Here is a 27,515-nt window from a genome sequence, read left to right on the forward strand (position 1 = left end):
CTCACAGCACACTGATAAGGCACAAGACACAATACAGCCCCACCTGTTCCAAATCTCCTCATTCCCGAGCACTGTGAGAGAGGCTGGCTCTGTTCAGTCATATCCAGGAGGCCTCTGGGGATTTTTAAAAAAAAAGGAAATTGGGATCATGACATGCTTGGAATATGGCGAGGATTTTTTCCTGCCATGTAAGTGCACTATAATGGGAAAAAACAATCACTGTAAACAATATTTGTGGGCGAGACTCTGATGTGGCCCCAAAGTAGATGGATCTAGGGGAGGGGCCCAGTGACTTGATTAGACACTGTTTGATGCTGCAAGTAAGCAGGCCCTGGCTTCCTATCAGCCTCTGTTCTTAGGACAATGCTGACACTAATACCTTGATGTACGTGGTACCTGTGTGCTGTAGTTTGGATGTTGGTCCCCTCTGAGTCTCGTGTTGAAATGTGATCCCCAGTGTTGGAAATGGGGCCTAATGGGAGGTGTTTGGGTCACAGGATGGATCCCTCATAAATGGCCTGCTGCCAGTCTTGCAATGAGTGAGTTCTTGCTCTGTTAGTTCCCATGAGAGCTGGGGTTTTTTTAATTATTTTTTTTAGAAGGAGTTTTGCTCTTGTTGCCCAGGCTGGAGTGCAATGGCACAATCTCAGCTCACCGCAACCTCTACCTCCCAGGTTCAAGTGATTCTCCTGCCTCAGCCTCCCGAGTAGCTGGGATTATAGGCATGCATCACCATGCCCTACTAATTTTGTATTTTTAGTAGAGATGGGGTTTCTCCACGTTGGTCAGGCTGGTCTCAAACTCCTGATCTCTGCTGATCTGCTGGTCTTGGCCTTCCAAAGTGTTGGGGTCACAGGCATGAGCCACTGTGCCTGGCCAAGAGCTGGTTGTTAAAAATAACCTGGCACCTCCCTCCCTCTCTCTTGCCTCCTCTCGCCATGTAATCTCTGCACATGCAGGCTCCCCTTCGCCTTCTGCCATGAGTGGAAGCAGCCTGAGGCCCTCACCAGATGCAGATGCCAGTGCCATGCTTCCTATATGGCCTACAGAACCTTGAGCCAAATAAACCTCTTTCTTTATAAATTACCCAGCCTCAGATATTTCTTTATAAGAAACGCAAATGGACAAAGATAGAAAATTGGTGCCGAGGAGTAGGGCATTGCTACAAAGATACCTGAAAATGTAGAAGCAGCTTTGGAACTTCACCCAGTAATGGGTGAAGGCTGGAAGAATTTAGAGGGCTCAGAAGAAGAGAAAAAGATACGAGAAAGTTTGAAATTTCTTAAGGATTGGTTAAGTTTTTGTGACCAAAATGCTGTTAGAAATATAGACAGTGAAGGCCATACACAAGGTTTCAGATGGAAATGAGGAACTTATTGGGAACTGGAGCAAAGGCCAGCATTGTCATAAATTGGCAAACAACTTGGCTGCCTTGTGTCCATGCCCTAGGGCTTTGTGGAAGGCTGAATTTAAGAGTGACGACCTGGCTGGGCGCGGTGGCTCTCATCTGTAATCCCAGCACTTTGGGAGGCTGAGGCGGGCAGATCATGAGGTCACGAGTTCCAGACCAGCCTGGTTCACATGGTGAAACCCCGTCTCTACTAAAAATACAGAAATTAGCCAGGCATGGTGGCACGTGCACCTGTGATCCCAGCTACTTGGGAGGCTGAGAATCACTGAGAATCACTTGAATCCAGGAGGTGGAGGTTACAGTGGGCCAAGATCACACAGTGAGCCTGGGCAATAGAGCAAGACTCTGTCTAGGGGGAAAAAAAAGAAAAAAAAAGAGTGACAGCCTAGGGTATCTGGCAGAAGAAATTTCTAAGCAGCAAAGCATTCAAGAAGTGACATGGCTGCTTTTAACAGCTTATGCTCAGGTATGAGAGCAAAGGAATGACCTAAAGTTGAAATTTGTAGTTAAATGAGAAGCAGAGCATTAAAACTTAGAAAGTTTGCAGCCTGGCTGTGGTAGAAAAGGAAAGAGCATTTTCAGGAAAAGAACCCAAGGCTAGAGAGATTAGCAAGGAGAAAGGGAGCTGGGTGCTAATAGTCGAAACAATGGGAAAAAGGCCCCAAATGCATTCAGAAATCTTCAAGGCTGCCCCTCCCATCACAGGCCCAGGGGCTTAAGGGAACAGAATGGTTTCAAGGGACAGGGCCCTGATGTTGCTGCTCTTCACCACCACCTTGGGTTGCTGCTCCCTGCATCTCTGCACTCCGGCTCTAGCCAGGGCTCAAAGGGTCCCTGGTACTGCTTGGTTCTACTACAGAGACAGAAGCAGTAAGCCTTGGCAGCTCCATGTGGTGCTAAATCTGCAGCTGCACAGAATGCAAGAGGGGTGGAGGCTTGGCACCTTCCTCCTAGCTTTCAGAGGGTGTTGGAAAGCCTGGGTGCCCAGGAAGAAACCTCCCTCAGGGGCAGAACCCCTGCAGGGAGACTCTGCTAGAGCAGTGCCTAGTGGAGCTGTGGAATGAGGCTGCCATGGATACCTCAGAATTATAGAGCCACCAGCAGCATGCAACCTCAGCCTGGAAAAGCTGCAGGCACTAGACTCCAGTCTGCAAGAATGGCCACATGGACTGCACCCAGCAAAGCCATGGGGGCAGTGCTACCTGAAGCCTTGAAAGCTCACCCCTCACCTAGGATGCTGGACATGGAGTCAAGGGAGATTATTTTGGACCTTTAAGATTTAGTGTCTGCCTTGCTGGGTTTTGAACTTCTGTGAGTCCTCTTACTCCTTTGTTTTGGCTGATTTCTCCCTTTTGGAATGGCGATGTTTACCCAATGTCTGTTCCACTATTGTACCTTAGAAGTAAATAACCTGATTTTGATTTTACAGGCTCACAGCTATAAGGAAGTTCCCCTGAGTCTCAGATGAGATGATGGACTTTTGAGTTGATGCTGGAACAAGTTAAGACTTGGGGGATGAATGACTGTATTTTGCATTGAGAAAATCACATGAGATTTGGAAGCCTAGGGAGTAGAATGCTACAGTTTGGTTTATTTGATCCCTCCAAATCTCATGTTGAAATGTGATCCCCAGTGTTGAAGGTGAGGCCTAATGGGAGGTGTTTGGGTCATGGGAAGGATCCCTCATGAATGGCTTGGTGCCAGCCTTCAGTAATGAGTGAATTCTTGCTCTATTAGTTCCCACAAGAGCTGGCTGTTAAAAAAAGCCTGGCCCCCTCCCCTTTCTCTTGCCTCCTCCTGCCATGTGATCTCTGTACATGCCGGCTCTCTTTTCCCTTTCTGCAATGAGTGGAAACACCCTAAAGCCCTCGTCAGAAGCAGATGCTGGTGCCATGCTTCCTGTACAGCCTGCAGAGCTGTGAGCCAGATACACCTTTTTTCTTTATGCATTACCCAGTCTCAGATATTCTATATAGCAACACAAGTGGACTAAGACACTGTGCTACCTGTCTTCACAAGTGCTGCGGGCTGGAGAGGCAACCCTGTACTTGGTCTGCCAGTCAGGCAGCTTGATGTTGCTGCTGTCTACTTTGTAGGGGAGAATATCAGAGATAGCCCCTCATGCCTCTTCTGAACTGCCTAGTAGAAAATGAGGCACTTGCCCAGTGGTCTCTGAGACAACCTCCATTTAGAAGGTGAGCATTGCCTGTGTGTTATCTCCTTCCATCTCTTGTTCTTAATCTTACATTGAATCCCATCATCCATGATCACTGTCACCACCCCACTCCTGCCCACCCGACTCTACTGCACTATTAAAGTCACGCTTCAAACTGTCATTTTCTTTTAATTTTTAATCAGTCTGTGTCAAGAAGAAACAGGACTTGATCAAGCTTCCAGCCCTCACCACTCTATCAGCATAGCAATTTTAAGGATCAGAGCTTTGTTTACATTTGTCTAAAACCAAGAGAAGGAAAGGAATCAACTCCACAGATCAACATGTATTTGAAGAGACACTTCAGGACACTTTGGGAAATTTTTTAATCAATCAGTTTCTTAGGAACAACACCCAGTGGGCATGATGAGACCCTCAAAGTAGGAATGCAGGAATGATAGGCAGGTGAGGTGGCTGAGCTATCTGGGCTGGGAGGCCAGCCTCCTGGAATCTTAGGACAAATAAAAGGGGGAAAAATCCAACCTCACACTTCTTTTGAAGGTCGGATATGTTTACAGAAACAATTTCTGTTTTGGAAAATAAATGTATGGTTCAATTTGGGGCTGGGGGAACAATGACAATTGTCAACTAGAGAGAGGCTCATGATTCTGAGATAAATGTTAAGTGGAGTCTTTTTAAAATGCTGAAACAAAACATTACCTTGGTTACTGTCTCCATCATGAGATGTATTTGAACACATTCTGACCATGTGTAAAAACCACCAGATTTACCCAATGCCATGGATCCATGTGCCACACCATGAATACAAACACTGATGATATGTTACCAGAAGACAGCACAGAGTTCATGAGCTCTACTTTGTGAAGAAATTTCCAGAAAGCAGAGTCTGCCCATCTTTCCTTTCCTTTCTCACTGCAACTGCCACATCCTGCTTTCGTCTTGCTTCGAGTAGAGTTGTCTGGATGAAGGAAGATTCTCCAAATGTCACACAAGGACCTTTCCTTTGGGAGCTGGTCCCTTGCTGAGGGTGCAGGAGGCTCTGCTGTTCTTCCAGCATCTCAACACAAACTTTCTGCAGAGGCTGACCCATCCAAATTTGGAGTCCAGAGACAGTTTGAAGCAGATGTTAGAAGCAAATTTACATGATGTGACATGCTTTCAGAGGGGGCGGGGAGTACTTGCCAGTCAATGGGATGCGTGATGATTCGGTGGGATGTGCGTGGAATTGTCCCATGTTCCACAGCACGATACACATTTAACACCCCTCATCCAAGACCACGCGAGGGCTTCCCTGCTGCCCCGGTTCCCCATGGGTCTTGGTGAATCCTCAAATCTCATTTAAAAGCACTGCCATTGCAGTTTGTCAGCCTCACTGTGGAGCCTGAGATGCATAATGTGAACTGTGGTCCCCATGTAGACAAGTTAGACATTTTGCCCCCAGGCTCTATCCTTCTGTGACCTCACTCCAAGATACAAGGTCCTTTCCCCGAAGGAGCAGGAGAGTCATCTGGATCTTGACCCATATTAGGGATCTTCTTCCATTAGAGGAATCTCTGTAAAAGAAGAGACGGTTATTAGCTTAACATAACCAGAAAACACCATGACGATCTGGAATTATATGCCTCATTAAAATATCTACAGTTTCTCAAATCAGTGAGGAGAAGAAAATGTTAAGTTCCACATACCAGTTAATAACCAAATAAATCAACCTCCTATACAACATCTTTCTGTAACAATTGTTCTTTGCCAGGAAACAATTATGATCTTATTTCCAGTTCATAAAAAATAAAATGTTACATTTTAACCATAGGCCTTAATGGTCACACAAGCCAGAAAGTTGCAAATTCAAGTACAGAAAGGCAGCGTGGTTTGCAGAAAAGGAACACTGTGGTGGCCCAGGAGACCTCTGTTTCCACGTCATTACTGCCATTTACTCTCAATATAAGCCAAATTAGTGCTCTCATTTGCAAAGTGGCACTGGGGCTCCCCTTCTGTAGGAAACAGAGACCTAATCAATCTGACACATTTTCCTTATTTTACCATGAATCTACCCTTCCTTGTGACAGGTACACATGCATCTTTTACTTCACATCTGGTAAAAATAACTTCTATGTACACAGAACTCTGGGGCTAGAACACACTGCTGGGCCCTAGTGCGTGCCTCTGGATCCTTCTTCCTGGCATGTATGTGCCATCCTGTCCCTAAGCCCCACTTCCAGGAGTCCTATCTAATTAAGGAATAAAGAAGAAATACATTCCAGATCATACAGACACCACAAAAATGAAGCACCGGCCACTGCTGCCTTTCTACTCTGGATGGCTCGATGCCTTTTGGTGCCTCTTGAAATTTCCATTAATGGGCTCATTACTTGCAAGATGATGATCATTCCCTACAATAATTGGCCTTGCCCAAGGCCTCTACATGGAGAGAGAGCATGAAGCAATTTAAGCTGAGTGAGAGGTAAACAGATTGATTCGACTCTGTGCTGGGGGGTGGAGCGTGCGTAGCAAGGAGCTGGCTTGAAGATGCTGGTGCGGAGGTGTTTGCAGGTGTGGCTTGGGCCCTGGGGCAAGCACTTACCATCTGCAATGTCGATGCCTGGGCTGGTGGATGCCACCTCCTCTGCCGTGCTGGCAATTATGTCAGGGTTGTCCGAAGCAGGGTGGGTGCTCTCTTGGCACCTGGGAGGTGAATACAGACTTTGGAGCAGCTCAGAAGAGCCTGAGACGCTGTCACAGGTTTCTGACTCCCCTGGGCCTGTGTCCGTGTCCCCTGAGCCGGGGTATGCTGGGGGGCTCTGGTCGTCCACGGGTAAGGGGCAGCCCTGGCCCACAGAGGCCATGTACCCGGGGCCTAAGGCACTCAAGCCGCCACTCACAGCTTCGTCATAGGACGGGAGCATGACGGGCACGCCGTCTACCACCACAAAGTCAGGGTCACTGCTGGAACTCCGGGGAGGCCCCCTGTGTAAAGGAAAGAAGTGCCAACATGTGAGAGCCATGCCACTCTGGGGATGAGGCCACCCATACTCCCTCCTGCACTCGGGGTCCTCAGGACCCACGATGGGCAGCAGAGTCCCGTATGGAGGATAATATGGAAGAACCAGCCTCCTTTCAGGGACTCCTCTGGAAGATGATGCTGCCATCCCGGCTGCCCATGCTCCGGAGAGAGGAGGTTTTCTTTTTGTCACTCTCTCGTGTCCTCCTGCCTCTGGGCCTTACTATCTCCTCATGCTTTTTCCCTTGCTCCTTTGACCTGTGGGCTTTGGCCTTCTGGCCATAAGCTCATGGAGCAAGGGACAACATAACCCTTTCTAACAGAGCAGCCCAGTGCACCTCTGAAGTGTCCTGTAGGATGGGATTGAAAGTGGGATAGCACTGTTAAAAGTACAGAAAATAGGTCAGGTGTGGTGGCTCACACCTGCAATCCCAGCACTTTGGGAGGTTTTGCTTGAGCCCAGGAGTTTGAGACCAGCCTGGGCAACATAGTGAAACCCTGCCTATACAAAAAATAAAAATGTTAGCCACATGTGGTGGCACGTGCCTGTAGCCCTAGCTATTCAAGAGGCTGAGGCAGGAGGATCCCTGGAGCCCAGGAGTTTGAGGCTGCAGTGAGCCATGATCGCACCACTGCACTCCAGCCTGGGTAACAGAGCGAGATGTTGTCTCATAAACAAACAAACAAACAAACAAAAAACAGTAACTGTGGACCCTCAGTGCCCAGAGGGACTAGCTGGCCCTATGCTCATCATGTTTCTTTGTTGTTTTCTGCATTCAGTATAAAAATCATTACATTTTAGTCTAGATTTAAAAAAAGAAAAAGAAAAAGGAAAGAAGGAAAAAAAAGGAAAGCTGTGAGCACTATGTCACTACCCCGTTCAAGCTACGCAGGCTCACCGCCACCTCCTGACCCCCCGCCACTCTTCTAAGCAAGGCCCGGGTTGCTGGTGTGAGGGCTCCAGGAGCGGCGGCAAAGTGAGTCTGCATGTCTGCAGGGCTCCCTCACGTGGGCGCGCACACAGTTCCTGGCCTGCTCCCTTTGCTTCTCAGCCCTCTGCACATTCAACACTGCCTGATTGGAGCCCGGGGCGTCTGACATCACAGCCTGGGCTCCGTGTGACCCCCATACTCTGCTCCTGGCCTCAAGAGGAACCCAGGGTGGCTAATAAGTAGCCAATAGAACTTGGTTTCTTCCTTTTTTTTTTTTTTTTTTTTTTTTTGAGATAGAGTCTCACTCTGTCACTCAGGCTGGAGTACAGTGGCACGATCTTGGCTCACTGAAACCTCCGCCTCCCAGGCTCATGCGATTCTCCTGCCTCAGCCTCCCGAGTAGCTGGGATTACAGGCATGCACCACCACCCCCAGCTAATTTTTGTATTTTTAGGAGAGACAAGGTTTCACCATGTTGGCCAGGCTGGTCTTGAACTCCTGACCTCAGGTGATCCACCTGCCTCAGACTCCTAGAGTGCTGGGATTACAGACGTGAGCCACTGTGCCCGGCCGGAACTTGGTTTCTTATTGTCTCTGCTGGGAACTGGTGCTGAGGGAGGAGGCCAAAGGTAAAATATGAGGAAGAGAAGACCCAGCTGGGTGGGCAGACCCTGAATCTCTGAGTGCTGGCGGCAGGGGCTCTAAACCCAAGAAGATGAAACGTCTGGGGGTGGAGGGGAAGCACAGGCTGTGCGTCTCTCTAAAGCTCAAGTCCACTGACTTTTTGAAACATCTTGCAAAGGCTTGGAGATTATGGTGGTGGACTCCTTGTCCCGCAGCTCTTAAAGACTGCCCAGAGAGGGCGGGAGACCACCAAGACCATGCTCTTCAGGGGGCAGAAGACAAGAGGCAGGAGGAAAGGAGGAGCTTGCTCCGAGCCAGACTGCTCTCCCTCCACAGCCACCAGTAGTTACTGCTTACCAGTAGTTACTGCTTCCTTGACAATGATGCTCCCTTCCTCTCCGGCCACTTCACTGTCTTGTGCTGGCCTCCTCTTCTCACTCAGGACTCCCTGCCTCCTCACCATCCCTGGCACCTCCATGTTGTCTAGGCCAGGGTGAGCAGACGCCTCTCTTCTCCATTTCTCACCCTAACAGTCCACACCCAGGATACAGCTCCCAAGATCTGGCAGCTTCCCCTCCACGTGTCCCCGCCATGCCACTCAGCTCCCATACACCCCTCGTCAACATCCCTGCAGGCTCTACTCTTGTGGAACCTGGAGAAAAAAAGTCCATTCTTGGTTTGCCCTTGAGATTCTTGTCATGCATTTGGATTCATGTCATGTATTTGAAGCCAACCTTCCCAAAACAACTCAAGAATAATATAAGATGAAAGACTCAAGGGCTGAAGAACATCAAATGAAAGGGTTTCAAGAACATTTTAAAAACATCTTAATATTTAGTGGATATCCTGGAAACTTTTCTTCCAAGCATATGTAGAAAAATAGCTCTGTGGGCTCTTTTAAAGTACTTGAACGCACTATCAATCACAGCCTTGTGGGTTGGCTTTCTCTTTGTAATCCTTAGGCCTTCTTGAGATACTGTAATTGCTCAATGATAGAACATGGTCCCTTGATGAATATATAATAATGTGGAAGACAGAGAGTGGATGGCAGGTTGGAGAGGAAGGAAGGTTTCAGCATCTTAGCAAGAGCTTGCTATGGCACCAGGATGGCACTGACACACCTCTGGGCCTGGGGAGGGATGCAGGTGACACCCACATCTAGCACACATTTGTGGCTGGGGAAAGAGGGATGCACCTATCAGGTTGTGACCATAGCGGGTCCCTGCTGCCAGGCAGGGGAGAATTGCTAAGTGAGGGAGGCCGCCCTGTGAGGTGTGAGGTTAAGGGCAAAGGCGGGTAGGTGCTGTCTCCAGCAGCTCTGCCCATTTCCTTCACTCCTCTCACAGCTGGGAGATGTGAGCAACACACTGCATTTTCCTGAAGGGAAGAGAGAAGTGGTTAATTCCAGGAGCCTCCTCCTCCATGAGCAATAGTCCCTTTTTCAGGTACATATGACTCTGGGGACTAGGCTGTCCCTGTGGGCAAAAAACAAATGCCCTTTTCTGAAGCATTAGGTTCTGAAATGAGAAGACTCTGACATGGCCACAGAAGGCAAGGAAAAGACAGCTTGTACCAATGGCCCCTGGCTAGTGTTCTGTGGTGTTTTGCTGTCCTCACCTCTTCTTCTCAATGTTCATAAACTTATCCTTTTGCTGTCTAAACTACTTCTCCCTCCAGGAACAATGATTTGCCAGCAGTAGTGCTGGGTGGCTCTTCTTTGTTCCTAAGGGTGCTGGTGCAGTCCTCTTTGGTGGTGATGACTTGAGGCTGAAGATACCAACCCGAGCTGATTGGTGCAGCTCAGAAGGATGTAGAAGCGCCTTCCACATGTCCCACTCCAGGGGTTCAGATAAGACTTCATGGTAGACTCTCACTAGCCCTTTCCTGATTGCTCCTGGAATCAGAAAAGTCTTTTCTCCTTCCTGAGGCTTCTCAATGCATAACACTTTTGTTCACACACCTCTGACCTGTGTCCCAGTCAGCTGTGTGCGCATCTTACCCTCCCTATAGACTGAGCTGTGTGGTGCTTCACTCCAGGGCCACATGCAGGGGGACCACAGTGGGAATGGTGCCTCTGGGTGGAGCAGTCCACAGCCTGTAGCCCTAACTCTGTGATCCCATCGCTAGCCCCCCATGATGCCCACCTGCAAATGGTCTACTGCAGGAAGGAGGGAGAGAGGTAGGAAAGAAAGAAAGAGGAAAATGAGGTCTGTCTCCAGCTTTGTGCTCAAAACATCCCAGAACATTGTTTTTGCTCTCCCCTGTTTCCCTTTAGAGCTTCAACTTTTCACTCATCACTTTCTCCCTCTGCTGCTAAGGGTAGCTGCATTGAGTCAGACCTTGAGCCACAGCTGCCAAGACATGACACTGACCTGGGGGGAAAGTGGGCCTTGAACTTGGTCTGGAACATCCTGGCCAGGATGACGAGCAGCAGCACCAGCAGCACACTGGTTGCCGTGAACGCCACAATCTTCCACGTGGTCAGGAGGGTCTCATGGGTGCTGGGCCACGTTTGCTCTGCATGAGGGAGAACAAAGCTGTACGTGAGGCTCCCAGACCATGAGAGGTGCCGAGGTTCCCCGTGGGCTCATTTGCTGGATTCATCTGGCACAAGAGATGCGTGCAAGGTGCCTCTGACCCCCAGGGCTCGGCAGAGATACCATGTGCCCCTGTAGCTCATGTAAATTGCATCAGGATCCACCCAACACTAAAAACCTGTCTCCAGCATGGGCTCTGCCAGGTTGCAGACCTGCATGCTCACATTCCAGTCCCAGGCGCAGGCCTGGCACAGGCTTAAATAATGCATCTGCCTCTTGAGAACAGAGGTGGGCATCTCTCTTGCCTGGAGAAGTTGCTCCGAAATGGACCAAGGGGTGGGGGAGTGGGAAGCTGGGCCCTTTGTGAATGTTCTGGGATATGCTGTGGGGTTGGGTAAAGCAAGAAACAGAGGGTAAAGGGGACCCCTGTTCCACAGCTCTCATGCCCTACCACCTCTAGCCATCAACTGCCTGCCAGGTCAGGGGCAGCAAGAGCAGACCTTTCCAGAAGAGACTTATCCTTTGGGCACAGGCCACCCTGTCTCTTAAATGTCTCTCTGCCTTGTCATGACCACCCTCTTAGACACTCTCTTTGCACTTCTCCCCCGGCTGGCTCACAGGATCATGTGTGCGCCTCCAGAGACCTGGCATTAACAAGTGCTTCCTTGTGTCCAGGGGAAAGGCATGCAGTCATCAGCACTGCTCAGGGCAGCATCCCCAGCCTGGAAAGGGCTGGAGAGAGTGGGAAGGAGACAGTGGGTGTGTGCTGGTGCCCCAGTCTCTATCCTGTGGTCACTACCCAGGTGCACTGAGGCCAGTGGGGAAGGTGGTTTGCAATTAAGTCATTTGCTTTTAACTATGAAGCCCTGAAGCTTGCAAATGGCCTATAGTTTTACAAGTGAGAGCAGGTGTTACCCACAGTATCATCTGTATTCTGATATGTGTCCTTGAGTGGAAGAGAAAGGTAAAGTTATGCGTTGCTTGGGTCCAGGGCAATGCATCTAATTCTGGTCACACCCACAGGCCTGTGTCCTTACCAGTGGAAAAGGACAAGGCTGGGAGAAAAAAGAGTGTGGAGGCTGGAGGTCTTTCCATGGATGCTAGGGGTCTAGGGACCCTGTTTAGATGGTCAGCTTTTTAACCTGGGAATGGACAGGTTAATACTCCTGACCCTCTGAATAGGGTCCCTAGGCCCCTAGCATCCATGGAAGGACCTCCAGCAGACAGTTAATACTCTTGACTGTCTGAACAGGACCTACAAGCATCTGGCACAGAGCCCAACAGCAGCCCCATCGACCCGCAATGATATGTTTCGATATCCTGTTCCTGACACTGGGTGGGGGAGGAGAGATACAGCTTGGTACATAACCACCACCCACTATGTGCAGATGGTCCAAGGAGGGTCCATCTCCTCCAAGGGTGAGGCCTTCAGTCTTACCTGATTTGATGCAGTAGACTTGATAAGAAGGAAACCACTCTCCATACTGGCAGGTGATGTACTTGTAGTCGCTGGTGAGGCTGTAGCCAGGATCGCAGTAAAACTCCACCACAGTTCCGTGGTTGTAGCGCTCACAAGGCCGCGGGTGGCAGACGAAATCTCCGTGACTCACCATTGGAGGTAGTGGACAGACTTGGGCAGTAGGGGAGAATAAAAGTTTCAGAACCACAAGCTCACCTTTGTCTGAAGCCCCTAAGACGAAGAATGGCCTAGGAGAACTCAGTTAAAAATGTGCTTATGGATTAATCACCAGGCTACTGAGTTGCATTAGAGATGGTCTCTTTTTTAGTATTTCATGGAAGGCGGAATGGAAGCCTGCTGTAATATTCTGAGCACGTGCCGTTGTGACATGGCATTGTGAAGTACATCGTAAAAGAGAGGTTCGTTTTACAATGCAAAGAGTATGCCTATTTAATAGAGAGTATTAAGCTACTGTATTAATAATGCATGCTATTATGTGCCAGACAACCTAGTAAATAAAATTAACATATTTCTGTACAAAATCTTTACTGAAAGGCATAGTTATCCCAAGCCTGTTTCTGTGACCACAGTAGTAATTTGGGTCTATTAAAATCACAGGGCAGTGTCCCTAACCTGATCCCCTACAGCTCTGCTGAGGCTTAGCCAATGACGAACATGGAGCAGTTCTTCTAGCTCTGCTTGCAGAGCCAGGGCACAGCCTCCAGGGCAACCAGAGTTAGGTGCCTTGGGCATGAGGCTTGGTTCTGCCACCAACACCACACTGTGTGACCTTAAGCAGATCCCTTAACCTCTTTGAGCCTTGATTTTTCTCCTCTGTCAAATGGAAGCTTATTCTACCCTAGGAGGACGCCTTAGGGTTCTGACTCGAATATCCCATCATGTTAGGGGAAGAAAAAGTTGTTTTTAGTGTCTTTAGTATCTTGGTACTGCATTCTAGGTTGCGAGGTAAGGACGGTTCCATCTCTGTCACCACAAAGACGGCTTCAGTGGGAGTTCGGTGCTTTTTATGCCACAAGGAGCTCATTCTTGGATGAGGACTCAGAAATAAACAGTGCTGCTGCTTAAACATTCTTCAAGAAACAGTCAAACCACAGATTCTATCAGTGCCAACTTCAAACCCACACTCACAGAAACCAGTAAGAATTCTGACCAAAAAAAAAAAAACCTAAACGAAAAAGAGTTAACTTTTGATTCCCTCCCTTGGGGTAACCAAACACCCTGGCCAGTGCAGAACAGGCACTGCCCACCATACAGGCCAGAAGAGGTGCCCTCTCCACACTGGCCACTGAAACTACTCACTGGCAGCAGTGGGTGCCACTTGGAAAACAAGATGGCCCTCCCTGCAGAGCAGGCCACCCTGCCGGAGGTGTCCCGATGCGTGTGAAGCAGGGTTGGAGGCACACTACAGGCACTCTCTAGTCCTTCAAACAACACTGTAGTGTAGATCTTGTTGGTTCTTTCAGAGAAGGGGAAACGGAAACTCACAGAAGCAACTAGAGGAGTGAGTAGAAGCCCAGGTATGCTCTAGACAGGCCTAGGTCTGAATTCCGGCTGAACTACTCACCAGCCGAGTCACCCTAAACCAATCCCTGTGCATCTTTGAGCTTCAGGGTCCTCAGCTGTACAACAAGAGTCTCTGAGGGCTATCTCGAGAAATGCTGGTGAGGGCTTAGTTCAGAGCTGACAAACTGTGATTATTCAGGGAAAACCAGGACTTGAGTATCTAAAGAGATGGAATTTAACGAGGTGATGGCAAAGTGGAGAAGCCAGCAGGAACACCCCAAGATTAGTGAGAGCAGGAAGCCACTACCGCTCCTGGGCTGGTGGGATGAAGGGGTCTCGTTGCTGGGGTCCCTAGTGGAAGGTGGAACCATGGAGGTCTATCCCGCGGGAACTGGAGCCCGGGGAAACTCAGACCCCGCTGGAGATGTCCCCAGGGCAGGAACAGTGAGGGAGAAGTAGCCTGGTTCTCCACCTGCCCACCCTCCAGGCTCCCTCTGGACAAAGCCAGTGGGGAGCCAGGTGACAAGGGGGTCTGGGAAACAGGGTCTGCGGTGGACAGCCTGTCTAGATCTGGTGCAGTGCAGGGAAGGTCCAGGGCAGATCTGAGGCTGGCAGGCCCAGGTGTGCTCAGTAAATGGTGGCTGTCAGGTGGCTGCTGTGAGCATCCCACAGGTGGACACTGGCAGAGACAGGCTTTGAGCTCTGACTCTGAGGCCCAGGAGCTTTCTGCTGCTCTGCCTCAGGGTCTCTCCTGGGCTGGCAAATGCAGTCACACAACCCCTTGCATTTCCACAAACAGGGGCTCTTTTCAAGTTTGCTACCACCAGGGTGCTCTGGGAGCATCTCCAGGAAATAAAGCAGAAGGAAGCAAAGGGAAGGACAGCTGATGAGGAACAGGGAGAGAGAAAAAGGCACTGGCCACGTTGTTGAACTGGTCCTGGGAGATCCAGGGATGTGGCCGTAAGGGCTCTTCTCTCCTTGGAGGCCCTCCTCCGTGCTGCTTCTCCTCTACTCAATTCCTGGTTCTTCCCACAAGGAAGGGGTCTCCAGTGGCCCCGGGACTGCCTGGGGGCCCCCTTCCCTGCACTGCTGGAGCATTCCCCAGCGCTGTTGTACGCTCAGGAGGCCGGCATCTTCTCTGGGACAGGAGCCCCTTTCTGTGGTCAAGGGTATGGCAAGTGTCCATTGACAGATGAATGGATAAAGAAAATATAGGCAATATACACCACAGAATATTATTCAGCCTTAAAAAGGAAGGAAATCCTGCCATTTAGGACACAATGGAGAAACGTGGAGGACGTTCTGCTAAGTGAAATAAACCAGGCACAGAAAGACAAGATACTGCATGATTTCACTTATATGTGAAATCTAAAGAAGTTGAATACATAAAACCAGGGAGCAGAACAGTGGTTACCAGGGTTGGGGAGGTAGAGGGAATCAGAAGATGTAGGTCAAAGGGTAAAAGGGTGCAGTTCCATAGGACGAAGCCCAGAGCTCTGATGTATAGTATCCAGACTCCAGTTAATAATACTGTATTATACACTGGAAATTCACTAAGAGAGTAGATTTCAGGAAATGGATTATGTTAACTTACTTGACTGTAATAGTCATTTCACTGTGTAGATGTATCTCAAAACATCATGTTGTACACCTTAAATATCTAACATTTTTATGAAAGAGAAAAAGAGGTACACAGAGCAGGAAGGCACTTCTCCTCAAAGGCTCTCTAAACAAGCCCCTGAGGGCCACTGTAGGATTAGAAAATTACCAAAACTCTTTTCAAAGCACAGAAAATGTCATGAAAGAGCCCACATAAATGTATGCAAGTTTGTTATCAGCAGCATTTTTTTCTCACTGGGCCTGAAAGATGAACGACTGTTCAAATCATTGCATTCACCCCGAGGCAAATGGTCCCATGGTGTGCTCAAGAATTTCTGTACCATACAGATCAACCATTTAATCAATCATTTAATGAGCAAAGGCAGGCAGCACGGAGTGGCATATAGGGCCGTGGGCTGTGGAGTTACCCAAATTTGTGTTCAAACCTCAGCTCTACCACTGATGAGCTTCAGGGTGTTAGGCAGCTTGTTTGACTTCTCAGGGTCTTAGCTTTCCCATCTGTCTAATGAGTGAAACAATTCCCAACTCCTCCAGTTGTTGAGAGGATTTGAAGATGTATGAAAACTGCATAACACAAAGGTCAGGGACACAGTAGGCACTTAATAAATAATAGCTATTAGTATCACTGGTGTCCAAACTTGCTGGGGTTCCCATGCTGCCCTTCCCGTACTGGGGCACTACCAGGCTCCTTATGCAATTAGGATACCTGGGATTGCACCAGGGAAGCCCCAAACATTCAGAGAATGTGAACACATCTCATCACCACATTTTCTCAGAGGCCAGATAAAAACCATCCATTGTAGAGGCCTTAACTCTGAGACTGTCATAATCGGCTGGTAATGGAGATGCATTTTCCCCTTAAGTAGAAACAATTATCTTCACACCTTGTAGTGTTTGTAATGATTGCACCTGGCAGACCATTAGCTTTGCTGTAAAGGAAACCCCATGTGGTGTGGTGAGGGTAGGGGGTGGGAGCGTTTCTTTTAACTTGGAAGGAAACAACAACAAAAGTATTATTAATTATAAACTTAGGGAGGCTTATTTAAAAATCCCAATATAAAAATACCCATGGCTTAGGGGACTTCCACCTCTCACCCAACACTGCCTCTCACTATGAGGCTCGACTGAGTACTGCTACTGTCTCCTCTCTACACCTTCCCTAACAGACAGACAGTTCCACACAGACAGACAGACAGACGGATGGACACACTCCCACACCCAGAGGCCTCAGACACATGGCAAACAGCCCCATGAACAACGGCCACATGGTTGGCGTTTGAAATAACCTGTGTGTTCCTAGAAATTCCGGTGAGTAAAAGTGGACCGGGCTATGGCACTTTTTTCTGTTCTTATCTTAGAACTCCTTTAGGCTCAGCCTGTGACTCATATCCCGTCAGTTGCTAGTTCTAAGGGAAACACACCCAGGGAAAACCTGTGGGTGGCATGAACAAAGATCCTTCTGCAACTCCATTTTTCTTAATGTTTCTTACTTTAGACATTATTAGCAACAGGGCTTTTGTGAGGCTTGGGAGTCTGGACATTCAGTGGTTATAGGCAGAATCCAAGAAAGGCTCTGCTGACACTCAGCCAGAAACGGATGATTCCTGTCCCCGAGGTGTGAAGTCTCTGTTCCTTGTTTCATGACAGAGGGTTACGGCTCTTTTCAGACTAGCTGGAAAATTCCTACCTACCCAAAAGGCAGCAGAGTCCAGTTTTTACCATACTTAGTCTCTTGTGGAACTTCCCAGAGGTGGGCTACATGTGGGGAGGCGGGACCAAAGGATAGGGTGCTGAGGCATGGGACCTGAAGTCTTCCCTGTGTTGGCCAAGAATGGCCTGAGCTGGGCTGGATGGGGCTGCTATAAGACTGCAATTTCCCCAAATAAGCCTTCCCTCATTTTCCAGCCTCCTTTCAATTTAGTGTCTTTTCCTCACCCTCCCTCTGGCTATTTCCTCCTATGCAGATTTAATTCCAACACAAACACCAGCCTCTTTGGGAAGCCTTCCCTGAGTGCACAGGCAGTGATCTTGGAGTTCCTGGGCACTTTGTGCATTTTACATGCCTAATACTTGTACAGATTCATAAACTCTTTGAGAGCAGGGGCCGTGTCTCTAGAGTTTTTCTAACTCCTGTAGCATCCAGCATGATTCTTGATAAACATTTGCTATTTGAGTGAATGGAAATGTCAAAGTTTTCACAATAAACCAGAGGTGGTTCCCTGTCCACTTCTCTCCTGTTGGCAATGAGCTGCAATATTCATGCTGTGTCTGGTCTCATTTTTCAGTGGGGGAAAAAAGGTGAGACATGATAATAGTTTTATCATAGCCTCATGGCTTCACCCGACGGACACCACACACCAGGATTTGTGTCCATTTTAGGGATGTCTTAGTGACGTGAAATAGAGCTTTGCCAGTCCCACCTCTGAGATACACACTAAAATAAAGAGGCCAACGTTTCTAACACCTTCAAAACAATGCCAGTTGGTTCTTCCCTTGATGCACTAACAGGTGTGCAGATCATGGTGAAATACAGTATAGGATAAAAATGGAATGTTTAATTCAAACGTCCTTTATTGCAGGAGAACAACATTTAGAACAGAGATGTGGTGGTGCTAGTTGAGGAACAGGTAGGTGCTGGGGTGGGAGAGGACTTTAACACAGGGCAAAAATAAAGCACAGCAGCTGCCAACCTGATGTGTGGGAAATAAAGGACAGGGAAAAGATGTTCAGGTCTTCCTCCTGAAAAAAAGAAGTGTAAATATGAAAACATAAGAAGACTATTTCTCTTGATTGAAAAAAAAAACCTAAAGCCCTTTTCTTTCTAAAAAAAATAAAGACTTTATTTTTAAGAGCAGTTTTAGGTTCACAGCAATATTGAGCAGAAGGTACAGGAAGTTCCCGTATACTCCCTGCTCCCACGCATGCACAGCCTCCCCCATTATTCACATCCCCACCAGAGTGGTGCATTTGTTACTGCTGATGAACCTACATTGATACATCATTATCACTCAGAGTCGAGTTTACATTAGGGTTCACTCTTGGTGTTGTACATTCTATGGGTTTGGATAAATGTGTAGTGACATGTATCCACCATTCAAGTTATCATGCAGGGTAGTTTCATTGCCCCCCCAAATCCTCTGTGCTCTGCCTGTTCATTGCCCCACCCACCCCCAAACCCCCAACAATCACTGATCGTTTTGCTGTCGTCATAGTTTTGCCTTTTCCAAAATGTCATATAGTTGGAATAGGACAGTATATAGCCCTTTGAGATTGGTATCTTTCATTTAGTAATATGCATTTGAAGTTTCTTCATATCTTTTCATGGTTTGAAGGTTAATTTATTTTTAGTGTTAAATAATATTCCATTGTCTGGATGTACCATAGTTTATTTATCCATTCACCTACTGAAGGACATCTTGGTTGCTTCTAAGTTTTGGCAATTATGAATAAATCTGCTATAACATTTGTGTGCAGGTTTTGGTGTGGACATAAGTTTTCAGTTTCTTTGGGTAAATACCAAGGAGAAGGATTGCTGGATCATGTAAGAATACATTTAGTTTTGTAAGAAGCCATCAAACTGTCTTCCAAAGTGGTTATATCCCTTTGCATTCCTGCCAGCAACAAATGAGAGTTCCTGTTGCTCCACATCCTCTTCAGCATTTCGGTTTGTAAGTGTTCCAGATTTTGGTCATTTTAATAGGTAAGTAGTGATCTCTCTTGTTTTAATTTGCATTTCCTGATGACATATGACTTGAAGCATCTTTTCATATGCTTGTTTGCCATCTGTATATCTTTGATGGTGTTAAGGTCTTTGGAACATTTTAAAATCAGGTTGTTTGTGTTCTTGTTGTAGACTTTTAATAGTTCTTTGAATATTTTGGATAACAGTCCTTTATCAGATGTGCCTTTTGCAAATATTTTCTACAAGTGTGTGGCTTGTCTTCTCATTCTGTTAACATTGTCTTTTGCAGAACAGAAGTTGTTAATTTTAATGAAGTCCAACTTATCAATTATTTCCTTCATGCATCATGCCACTGGTGTATCTAAAAAGACATCGCCATACACAGGTCATCTGGATTTTCTTCCATGTTATACTCTAAGAGTTTCACAGTTTTGCATTTTACATTTAGGTATACGATCTATTTTGAGTTAATTTTATGGAAGAGTGTAAGGTCTGTGTCTAGCTTTTTTTTTTTTTGTTTTTGTATGTGGATGCCCAATAGTTCCAGCATTATTTGTTGAAAAGTCTGTCTTTGTTCCATTATATTGCCTTTGATCCTGTGCCAAATATCAGTTGACTATATTTACGTAAGTCTATTTCTAGGCTCTCTATTGTGTTCCATTGATCTATTTGTCAATTATTTCACTAATACCATGCTGTCTTGATTACTGTAGCATTATGATAAGTCTTGAGGTCAGGCAATGTCAGTCCTCCCACTTTGTTCTCCTTCAATATTGTGTTGGCTATTCTCAGTTTTTTGCTTCCCCATATAAACTTTAGAATTAGTTTAATAATATCAAAAAATAACTTGCTGGAATTTTGATTAAGACTACATTGAATCTATAGAGCAAGTTGGGAAGAACGAACATCTGGACAATATTGAGTCTTCCTATCCATGAATATGGACTATCTCTCCATTTATTTAGTTCTTTGATTTCTTTCATAAGAGTTTTGTAGATTTCCTCATATAGATCTTGTACATATTTTGTTAGATTTGTGTCTAAGCATTCCATTTTAGGGGCAGCTAATGTAAATCGTATTGTGTTTTTAACTTCAAATTCCACTTGTTCATTGCTAGTATATAGGAATGTGATTGATCTTTGTATACTAACCTTGTATCCTGCAACCTTGCTATAATTGCTTATTAGTTCTAGGAGGGTTTTTTGGTCAATTATTTTGGATTTCTTACATAGATGATCATGTCCCCTGTGAAAAAGATAGTTTTATTTCTTTCTTTCCAATCTATATATCTTTTATTTCCTTTTCTTGCCTTATTGCATTAACTAGAACTTCCAGTATGATGCTGAAACGGAGTGATGAGAAAGAACATCCTTGCCTTGTCCCTGATCTTACGGGAAAACTTCTAGTTTCTCTTCATTAAGCGTGATGTTAGCTATAGCTTTTTTGTAGATATTCTTTATACGGTTGAGGATGTTGCCCTTTATTTCTAGTTTACTGGGAGTTTTTTTTTAAATCATAAATTGGTGTGGGATTTTGTCAAATGCCTTTTCTGCATATATTGAAATGATTTTTCTTTTTTAGTCAGTTGTTGTGATGAATTGCATTAATTGATTTTTAAATGCTGAACCAGCCTGGCATATCTGGGATAAATTCCACTTGGTCATGGTGTATAATTTTTTAACACTTTATTGGATTGGATTTGCTAGTATTCTGTTGAGGATTTTTGCATCTATGTTCATGAAAGATATTGATCTGCGATTTTCTTTTCTTGCAATGTCTTTGTCTGGTTTTGGTATTAGAGTAATGCTGGCCTCACAAAATGAGTCAGGAAGTATTCCTTCTGCTTCTATCCTCCAAAAGAGATTATAGATAATTGGTATAATGTCTTCCTTATATGTTTGGTAGAATTCACCAGCAAATACATCTGGGCCTAGTGCTTTCTGTTTGGAAAAGTTATTAATTATTGATTCAAATTTTAAAATAGATATAGGCCTATTCAGATGGTCTATTTCTTCTTGTGTGAGTTTTGGCAGATTGTGTCTTTCAAGGACTTGCTCCATTTCATCTAGGTTATCAAATATGTGAGCATACAGTTGTTCAGAGCATTCCTTTATTATCCTCCTAATGTCCATGGGATCTGTAGTGATGTCCACTCTTTCATTTCTGATATTAGCAATTTATGTTCTTTCTCTTTTTGCTTAGTTAGCCTGGTTAGAGGTTTATTGATTTTATTAATCTTTTCAAATAATCAGCTTTTGACTTTGTTGATTGTCTCTATTGAGTTCCTATTTTCAACTTCATTGATTCCTGCTCTAATTCTTATTTCTTTTCTTCTGCTTACTTTGTATCTAATTTGCTCTTCTTTTACTAGTTTCCTAAGGTGAAAAGTTAGATTATTGATTTTAGATCTTTCTTCTTTTCTAACAGATGCACTCAATGCTAGAAATTTTCATCTAGGCACTGCTTTCACTGCACCCCACAAATGTTGACAAGTTGTGTTTTCATTTCATTTAGTTAAAAATATTTTTAAAATTTTTCCAGAGATTTCTTCTTTGACTCATGTTATTTAGAAGTACATTGTCTGCATTTTGAGATTTTCCTATTATCTTTCTGGTGTTGATTTCTGTTTAATTATACTGTGATCTACAAGCAGACACTGTATTATTTCCATTCTTTTAAATTTGTTAAGGTGTGTTTTATGCTCAGAATGTGGAGTGGACTATTTTGGTGAGTGTTCCATATGGACTTAGAAGAATGTGTTTTCTGCTGTTGTTAAATGAAGTAGTCTATGTATGTCAATTATTGTTTGATGATTGATGGTGTTGAAATCAGTTATGTCCTCACTGATTTTCTGCCTGCTGGATATGTCCATTTCCAATAAAGGTGTGTTAATCTCTATCTATAATAGTGGATTTATCTATTTCTCCCTGCAGTTCTATCAGGTTTTGCCTCATGTAGTTTGATGTTCTGTTAAATGCATACACATTAAGGACTGTTAGGTATTCTTGGGGAATTGACCCCTTTGTTTCTATGTAATGCTCTTCTTTATCATTGATAACTTTCCTTGCTATAAAGTCTGTTCTGTCTGGAATAAATACACAGTTGTTACTCTTCCTTTCTTTTCATTACTGTTAGCAGGGTACATTTTTTTCCATATACTTTCTTTTATTTATATTAATTTGTCTTCACATTTCAAATGGGTTTCTTGTAAAAAACAGATAGTTGAATCATTTTTAAAAATCTACTCTGACCATCTCTGTCTTTTAATCGGTGCATTTAGACCACTGACATTCAAAGTGGTTATTGATATAGTTGAGTTATCTACCATATGTGTTATCGTTTTTTGTTTGGTGCCTTTGTTCTTTGTTGCTATTGTTATCTTCCACTTTTTCATCCACTTCCAGCATTTCTTTTTGGTTTTAATTGAGCATTTTATCTGATTACATTTTCTCTCCTGTCTTAGCATATCAGCTATATTTCTTTTTTAACTTATTTTAGTGGTTGCCTTAGAGTTTGCAATTAACATTTACAATGAATCCAAGTCCACTTTCAAATATCACAATGCCACTTCACAGGTAGTATGAGTACCTTATAATTACAAAATGATACTAATTTTTCCTCTTTTTCATCCCTTGTACCATTGCTGTCATTCATCTCACTTATATATAAGCGTCTGTGTGTGTGTGTGTGTGTAATATACCTAAGTATATGTGATCAAGTACATTACTATTGTTTTGATATTATTATTTTGAATAAACTGTTATCCACTAGATCAATCAAGAATAAGAAAAATAAAAGTTTTAATTTTACCTTCACTCATTCCTTCTTCAGTGTTCTTCCTTTCTTTATGTAGACCCAACTTTCTGACCTATATTACTTTCTTTATCTCTAAAGAACTTCTTTTAACATTTCTTGCAAGGCCTACTGGCAACAAACTTTCCACATTTTTGTTTGCCCAAGAAAATCTTCCTTTCTCCTTCGCTTCTGAACGTTAATTTTTGTGGGGTACAGAATTCTAGGTTGGTTGGGTTTTTTTCTCTCAACACTTTAAATGTTTCATTCCTCTCTTTTCTTGCTTGCATGGTTTCTGAGAAGAAGTCAGATATAATTCTTATCTTTGTTCCTCTGTAAGTAAGGTGTTTTTCCTTGGCTTCTTTCAGAATTTTTTTATTTTTGATTTTTCTGTAATTTGAAAATGATATTTCTGGTTGCAGTTGTTTTAGTTTTTTTGTTTTCTGTTTGTTTTGCATGTATCCTGTCTGGTTTTCCGAGCTTCCTGGATCTGTGGTTTGGTGTCTGACATCAATTTGAGGAAATTCTCAGTCATTATTTTTTCACCTATTTCTTTCTTTTCTTTCTCTCTTTCTGGTATCTCCATTACACATATGTTTCACCTTTTGTAGTTGTCCCACAGTCCTCGGATATTCTGGGTTTTTTTTTCAGTCTTTGTTCTGTTTGCTTTTCAGTTTGGGAGGATTCTACTAACATTTCCTCAAGCTCAGAGATTCTTTACTCAGCCATGTCCAGTCTACTAATAAGCCCATCAAAGGCATTCTTTGTTTCCATCACAGTGTTTTTGATATCTAGCATTTCTTTTTGGCTCTTTCTTAGGATTTCCATCTTTCTGCTTACATTGCCCATTTTTTTGTGCATGCTGAATATTTCCTCCATTAGAGCCCTTAGCATATTAATCATAGTTGTTTTAAATCCACCGTTTGTGAACCCCAACATTCCTGTCATGTCTGCTTCTGATGCTTTCTCTGTATCTTCAAATTTGTGTTTTTTGCCTTTTAATATCTCTTGTAGTTTCTTCTTGATAACTGGACAAGGTGTACCAGGTAAAGGGAACTGCTGTAAGGAGGCTTTTGGTAATGTTGTGGTGCCACGCAGGGGAAGGAGAAGCACTCTGTAGCCCTAAGAGTGGGTCTCAGTCTTTTAGTGAGCCTGAGCCTCTGCACTGTGAGCTTCACAAGTGCTTCTCAGCTTTGTTTTGTTTCCCTTCACTCTCTTAGGTGGTACAGGATGGCTAGAGGGGGCAGGAGTTGGGTGCTTCCCTTCCTCCGAGTCAGTTGGGCTCTGATAATACCCCAGCAGTTTTGGCTGTGGTTAGCAAGTTTCCCTGGGGGACAGACCATGTTAAGGACGGACTGCTCCAGCATAATTCAAAATGGCTCATTCTCCTCCCCCTGCCAGAAGCACAAGGGGATTTTTATGTGAGAAAAATGTTTCCTGTGAGAACCTGGTAGAGCTTCTGGAGGCAAAACTCACAAAAGTATGGAGGCCCCCCATGACTGGGTGCCCCTAGAGCTTTTACCTCTACAGTTGGCCACACTGAGGCTGCAGCAATTCATCAATTACAGTCAGGTTCTCTTACACCTTCCCCAACCCCTGTCTTGTTTCCCTTGGTGGTTTCCACCTGTGTATCTCCACTCAGGTAAGCCGTGACTCTCTTTACTTTTCTGTCTCTCTATATTGAGAGCAGCAGTTTGCCCTGTGACCTTACTTCTCTTATGGATCCCTGAAGAGTTCTTGATTTTTCAGTCTGTTCAGTTTTTTACTCATTGTTAGGACAGATTGGTGACTTCCGAACTCCTTACACGCAGAACCAGAAACTGAAAGTCCCCCCAAAGGCTTTTCAAGGGGTTACTGAAGTTTTTAGACCAGCGATGGTTGTGGACAAGCAGTCCTCTCCGGACGGGGCCTCAGCCAATCTCTGACTTAGGAGCTAAGTGCTTGCCTGGCTGCTCTGTGTCTGAGCAGCAATCGAGAAGTGACTGCCATCCACTATCAAAGAAAGGAGTGCCTTTCAGAGTCCTGGAAATTTGTTCCTTAGTCTTCTTGGGGAAGACAATCCTACCACCTCCCCTTTACGGTGGCCTGGGAAGCTAGTAATAATTAGAGTATGTATGTATGTATGAGACAGGGTCTTGCTCTGTCACCCAGGCTGGAATGCACTGGCATGATCATGGCTCACTGCAGCCTCAACCTCCTGGGCTCAAGTGATCCTCTGACCTCAGCCTCCCAAGTAGCTGGGATTACAAGCACACATCATTATGCCCAGCTAATTTTTGTATTTTTTTGTAGAGACAGGGTTTCACCATGATGCTCAGGCTGGTCTTGAACTCCTAGGCTCAAGAGATCCACCCACCTTGGCCTCCCAAAGTGCTGGGATTACAGGCATGAACCACTGAACCCAGCCAAAATTAGACTTCTTTCTTAATATTATGCAGCATCTCAATGAACCCAGAAAAAGTAAGCATAAGGGTTTTTGCCTGCAGAGCCTCTCCAGTGTTGTGGCATTTGGGCCAGGCACTCATTTCTTGAGTGGGACAGTCTGGTGTCTGGCATGCTGTGGGGGTTTAACAACACCTCTGCCTGTCCAAGAAATAAGAGCAGCATCTCCAAGCCATTGGAACAACCCCAACTCCTCCACTGCCCCACCCTTGCCATGCTCCCAATGTCCCTGGAATCACCCCTTGGAATTTCTACTTGTCCCTCACTTTCATCCCTGGCCCAGGCCCATCCCTGTCCACGTGGCAGGATGCCTGATAGTGACTGGGAGGCAGATGAGTCAGGGTTTGAAGCCCAGCTCTGCTACTCGTTGGCTGAATAACCACAGGCATGTTAGTTACTCCCCTCACTCAGTTTCCCCATCTGTCCGATGAAGAAAATAATACCCGCTCACTAGAGCTGTTGTGAGGGCTGTATGAGCTAAGGGCCTGGGCCAGTGGCTTGCTAAGGGAGGCTCACATCAGGTACCAATATTGGTTTGTTTTCTGGGATGGGGATCCATGACTCTGGCCCTGCCACAGGGTGAAGTCGCTGGAGAGTGTGGGGAAAAGAAAGCATCTGCCAGTTGTCTGAGTCCCCAAATTCCTCACGTCCCACTTGTAGGTTAGGCAAAAGTGTCTACCCTGCTGCTTCTCTGTCTCATTAGAGATGCGACTGAAGGCAGATCCTCTCCTCATCCCATGGTGTGGTCCAATTAAGCGTGTGAGCTGGAAAAGTGTCCCCCTGGCCAGATGCTCCCCATGATGGGCAGCCGGGTGACAGTGGCCACAGGGAGCCCTGTGGCTCCAGGCTCCAGGCTCCTCCCTGGAGCACATCAGCCAGCTCTGTGGCCATTCCCACATGGAGACACCACAGGACCTTCTCAGGGAGACAGAAGCTGCCTCGCTCCAGGGAGGCCTGCGATGCACATCTGCCCCACGGGTTTAAGGAAGCAGGGCTGGGCTGCCCGCCTTGCCCTGGATGACCCTGGCTGTCTTCTTCTGGGAGATGAACTACACCATCCTTTGGAGAGATGGGGCTTCCTGGGGACACAGTCACCCAGCCTCCCTGCGCACTGGCAGGGGACTCAGAGCCACCTTCTCCCACTGAAGTCACCCTTCCATCTGTCCAGCTCTGATTTTTTTCTGCAGGTGACTCCCTGCCCCTTTTGGTGAATGCTGTTCACAGCACTGAGGGTGGGTGGCTCAGAGGGCCCCCAGGGCCAGGCAGCAAAGGCCACCTTGTGATTTGGGGGTGTCAGCCGCAGAAGCCCATGCTGTCTCCACTACCAGCATGTGGCTGGAGCATTTTCATTTGCTTACAGGCAAATAAATCTCAAACCACTTCCCGCCTGTCTTTAGGTACATCCAGGCCCCCATCGGCACTGTCTGAGCTCAGGGAAGGGCAACTAATCCTATTGCCCAAAGCACAATGAAGCTAGAAAGCAAGCCTGATGCACTAAGTGGAAAGAAAGAAAGAATTCCTCCATCGTCTCTTCCTGCTTTGCGTTATCAGCACTATGGCACCTCCTCCAGCATAGATAAGGGAGACTATTATGTTTGGACAATCTGCATTTTGGACTTTCTGAAATAAGAGCCTCTTTATTCTGTTACCTAAGTATAGTAATTATGTTCTTTCACTCATTTTAAAATTCACTTATTTAACAAATATTTTTTGGACAACCACTGATACTACCTTGGTCCCATCCTCAGATGATAAATAAGTAAACGCATAGATATTTATGTGGCTGGATAGGCCTTCTCCTCTAGCTGCTGAGAAAAACATTAATAGCACAATCTCACACACACAGGAGTTGGGATGGAGCTCTCGGGCACCACATCTCCCACCGGGGTTTGGAAGGCACCTGGACCAAAAGGAGGTAGATGTTCTTTTATGCACAGTAAGATCCAAAGCATATGCTGGTACTAGCAGGGGATTAGACAACCAGGAGTCAGAAGGTTTAAAAAACTAAAGGCCAGCCCACCTTGCTTCCTCTGCAATGGAGATGGGCCAGAGAGAACAGCTGCCATGTGCACCCTATGTGGGAGAAACTGAGGAGTCTCCAGACACAAGAGGAGGCCAGGAAAAGGGCCCGGGTCTAGGAAAGGTGAGAGGTGAGACTTCAAGGGGCCAGTGCAGCTGGGGAGCAATGGAAAAGACAAAATAAACAGGAAGAAGGAGAGTCTGTGGATGGAACAGTCTCTATCAAGAGAGGGCAGGTCACGTGGGGATGTCTCATGGTCTTGGTCCCTCAGTGTAGATAATGCAGGGACCCTGCTGAGTCT

At 45.8% G+C, this 27,515-nt stretch overlaps 1 protein-coding gene across 14 annotated transcripts in view, besides 1 other annotated feature; it reads right to left on the reverse strand.

Annotated features, from left to right (window-relative positions):
* Positions 1-3,747: 3,747 nt before the first annotated feature.
* The window catches only part of SUSD4 (sushi domain containing 4), a 144,405-nt gene continuing 120,637 nt past the window's right edge, over positions 3,748-27,515 (reverse strand). For 8 of the 14 annotated variants that reach the window (XM_024447936.2, XM_017001583.2, XM_005273169.2 and 5 more), the window contains 4 exons: positions 12,114-12,311; positions 10,511-10,655; positions 6,166-6,548; positions 3,748-5,137 (listed from right to left, as the gene is read on the reverse strand). In XM_024447936.2, the coding sequence (XP_024303704.1) occupies positions 5,109-5,137; positions 6,166-6,548; positions 10,511-10,655; positions 12,114-12,311 (755 nt within the window). In that variant the 3' untranslated portion in view covers positions 3,748-5,108. Of the gene's footprint in view, positions 5,138-6,165; positions 6,549-10,510; positions 10,656-12,113; positions 12,312-17,831; positions 18,018-27,515 lie in introns of those variants that run through there. The other 6 variants (NM_017982.4, NM_001410929.1, NM_001437664.1 and 3 more) reach the window with 2 other exon arrangements.
* Positions 25,737-26,237: an enhancer, noted in NCBI's record as "H3K4me1 hESC enhancer chr1:223416162-223416662 (GRCh37/hg19 assembly coordinates)". NCBI's record gives its function as "activates a minimal SCP1, AML or CMV promoter by ChIP-STARR-seq in primed H9 embryonic stem cells {active_cell/tissue: H9 hESC(primed)}" and the evidence as "EXISTENCE:reporter gene assay evidence [ECO:0000049][PMID:30033119]".

This window comes from Homo sapiens, chromosome 1 (assembly GCF_000001405.40).
Source record: "Homo sapiens chromosome 1, GRCh38.p14 Primary Assembly".
Taxonomy (NCBI): Eukaryota; Metazoa; Chordata; class Mammalia; order Primates; family Hominidae; genus Homo; species Homo sapiens.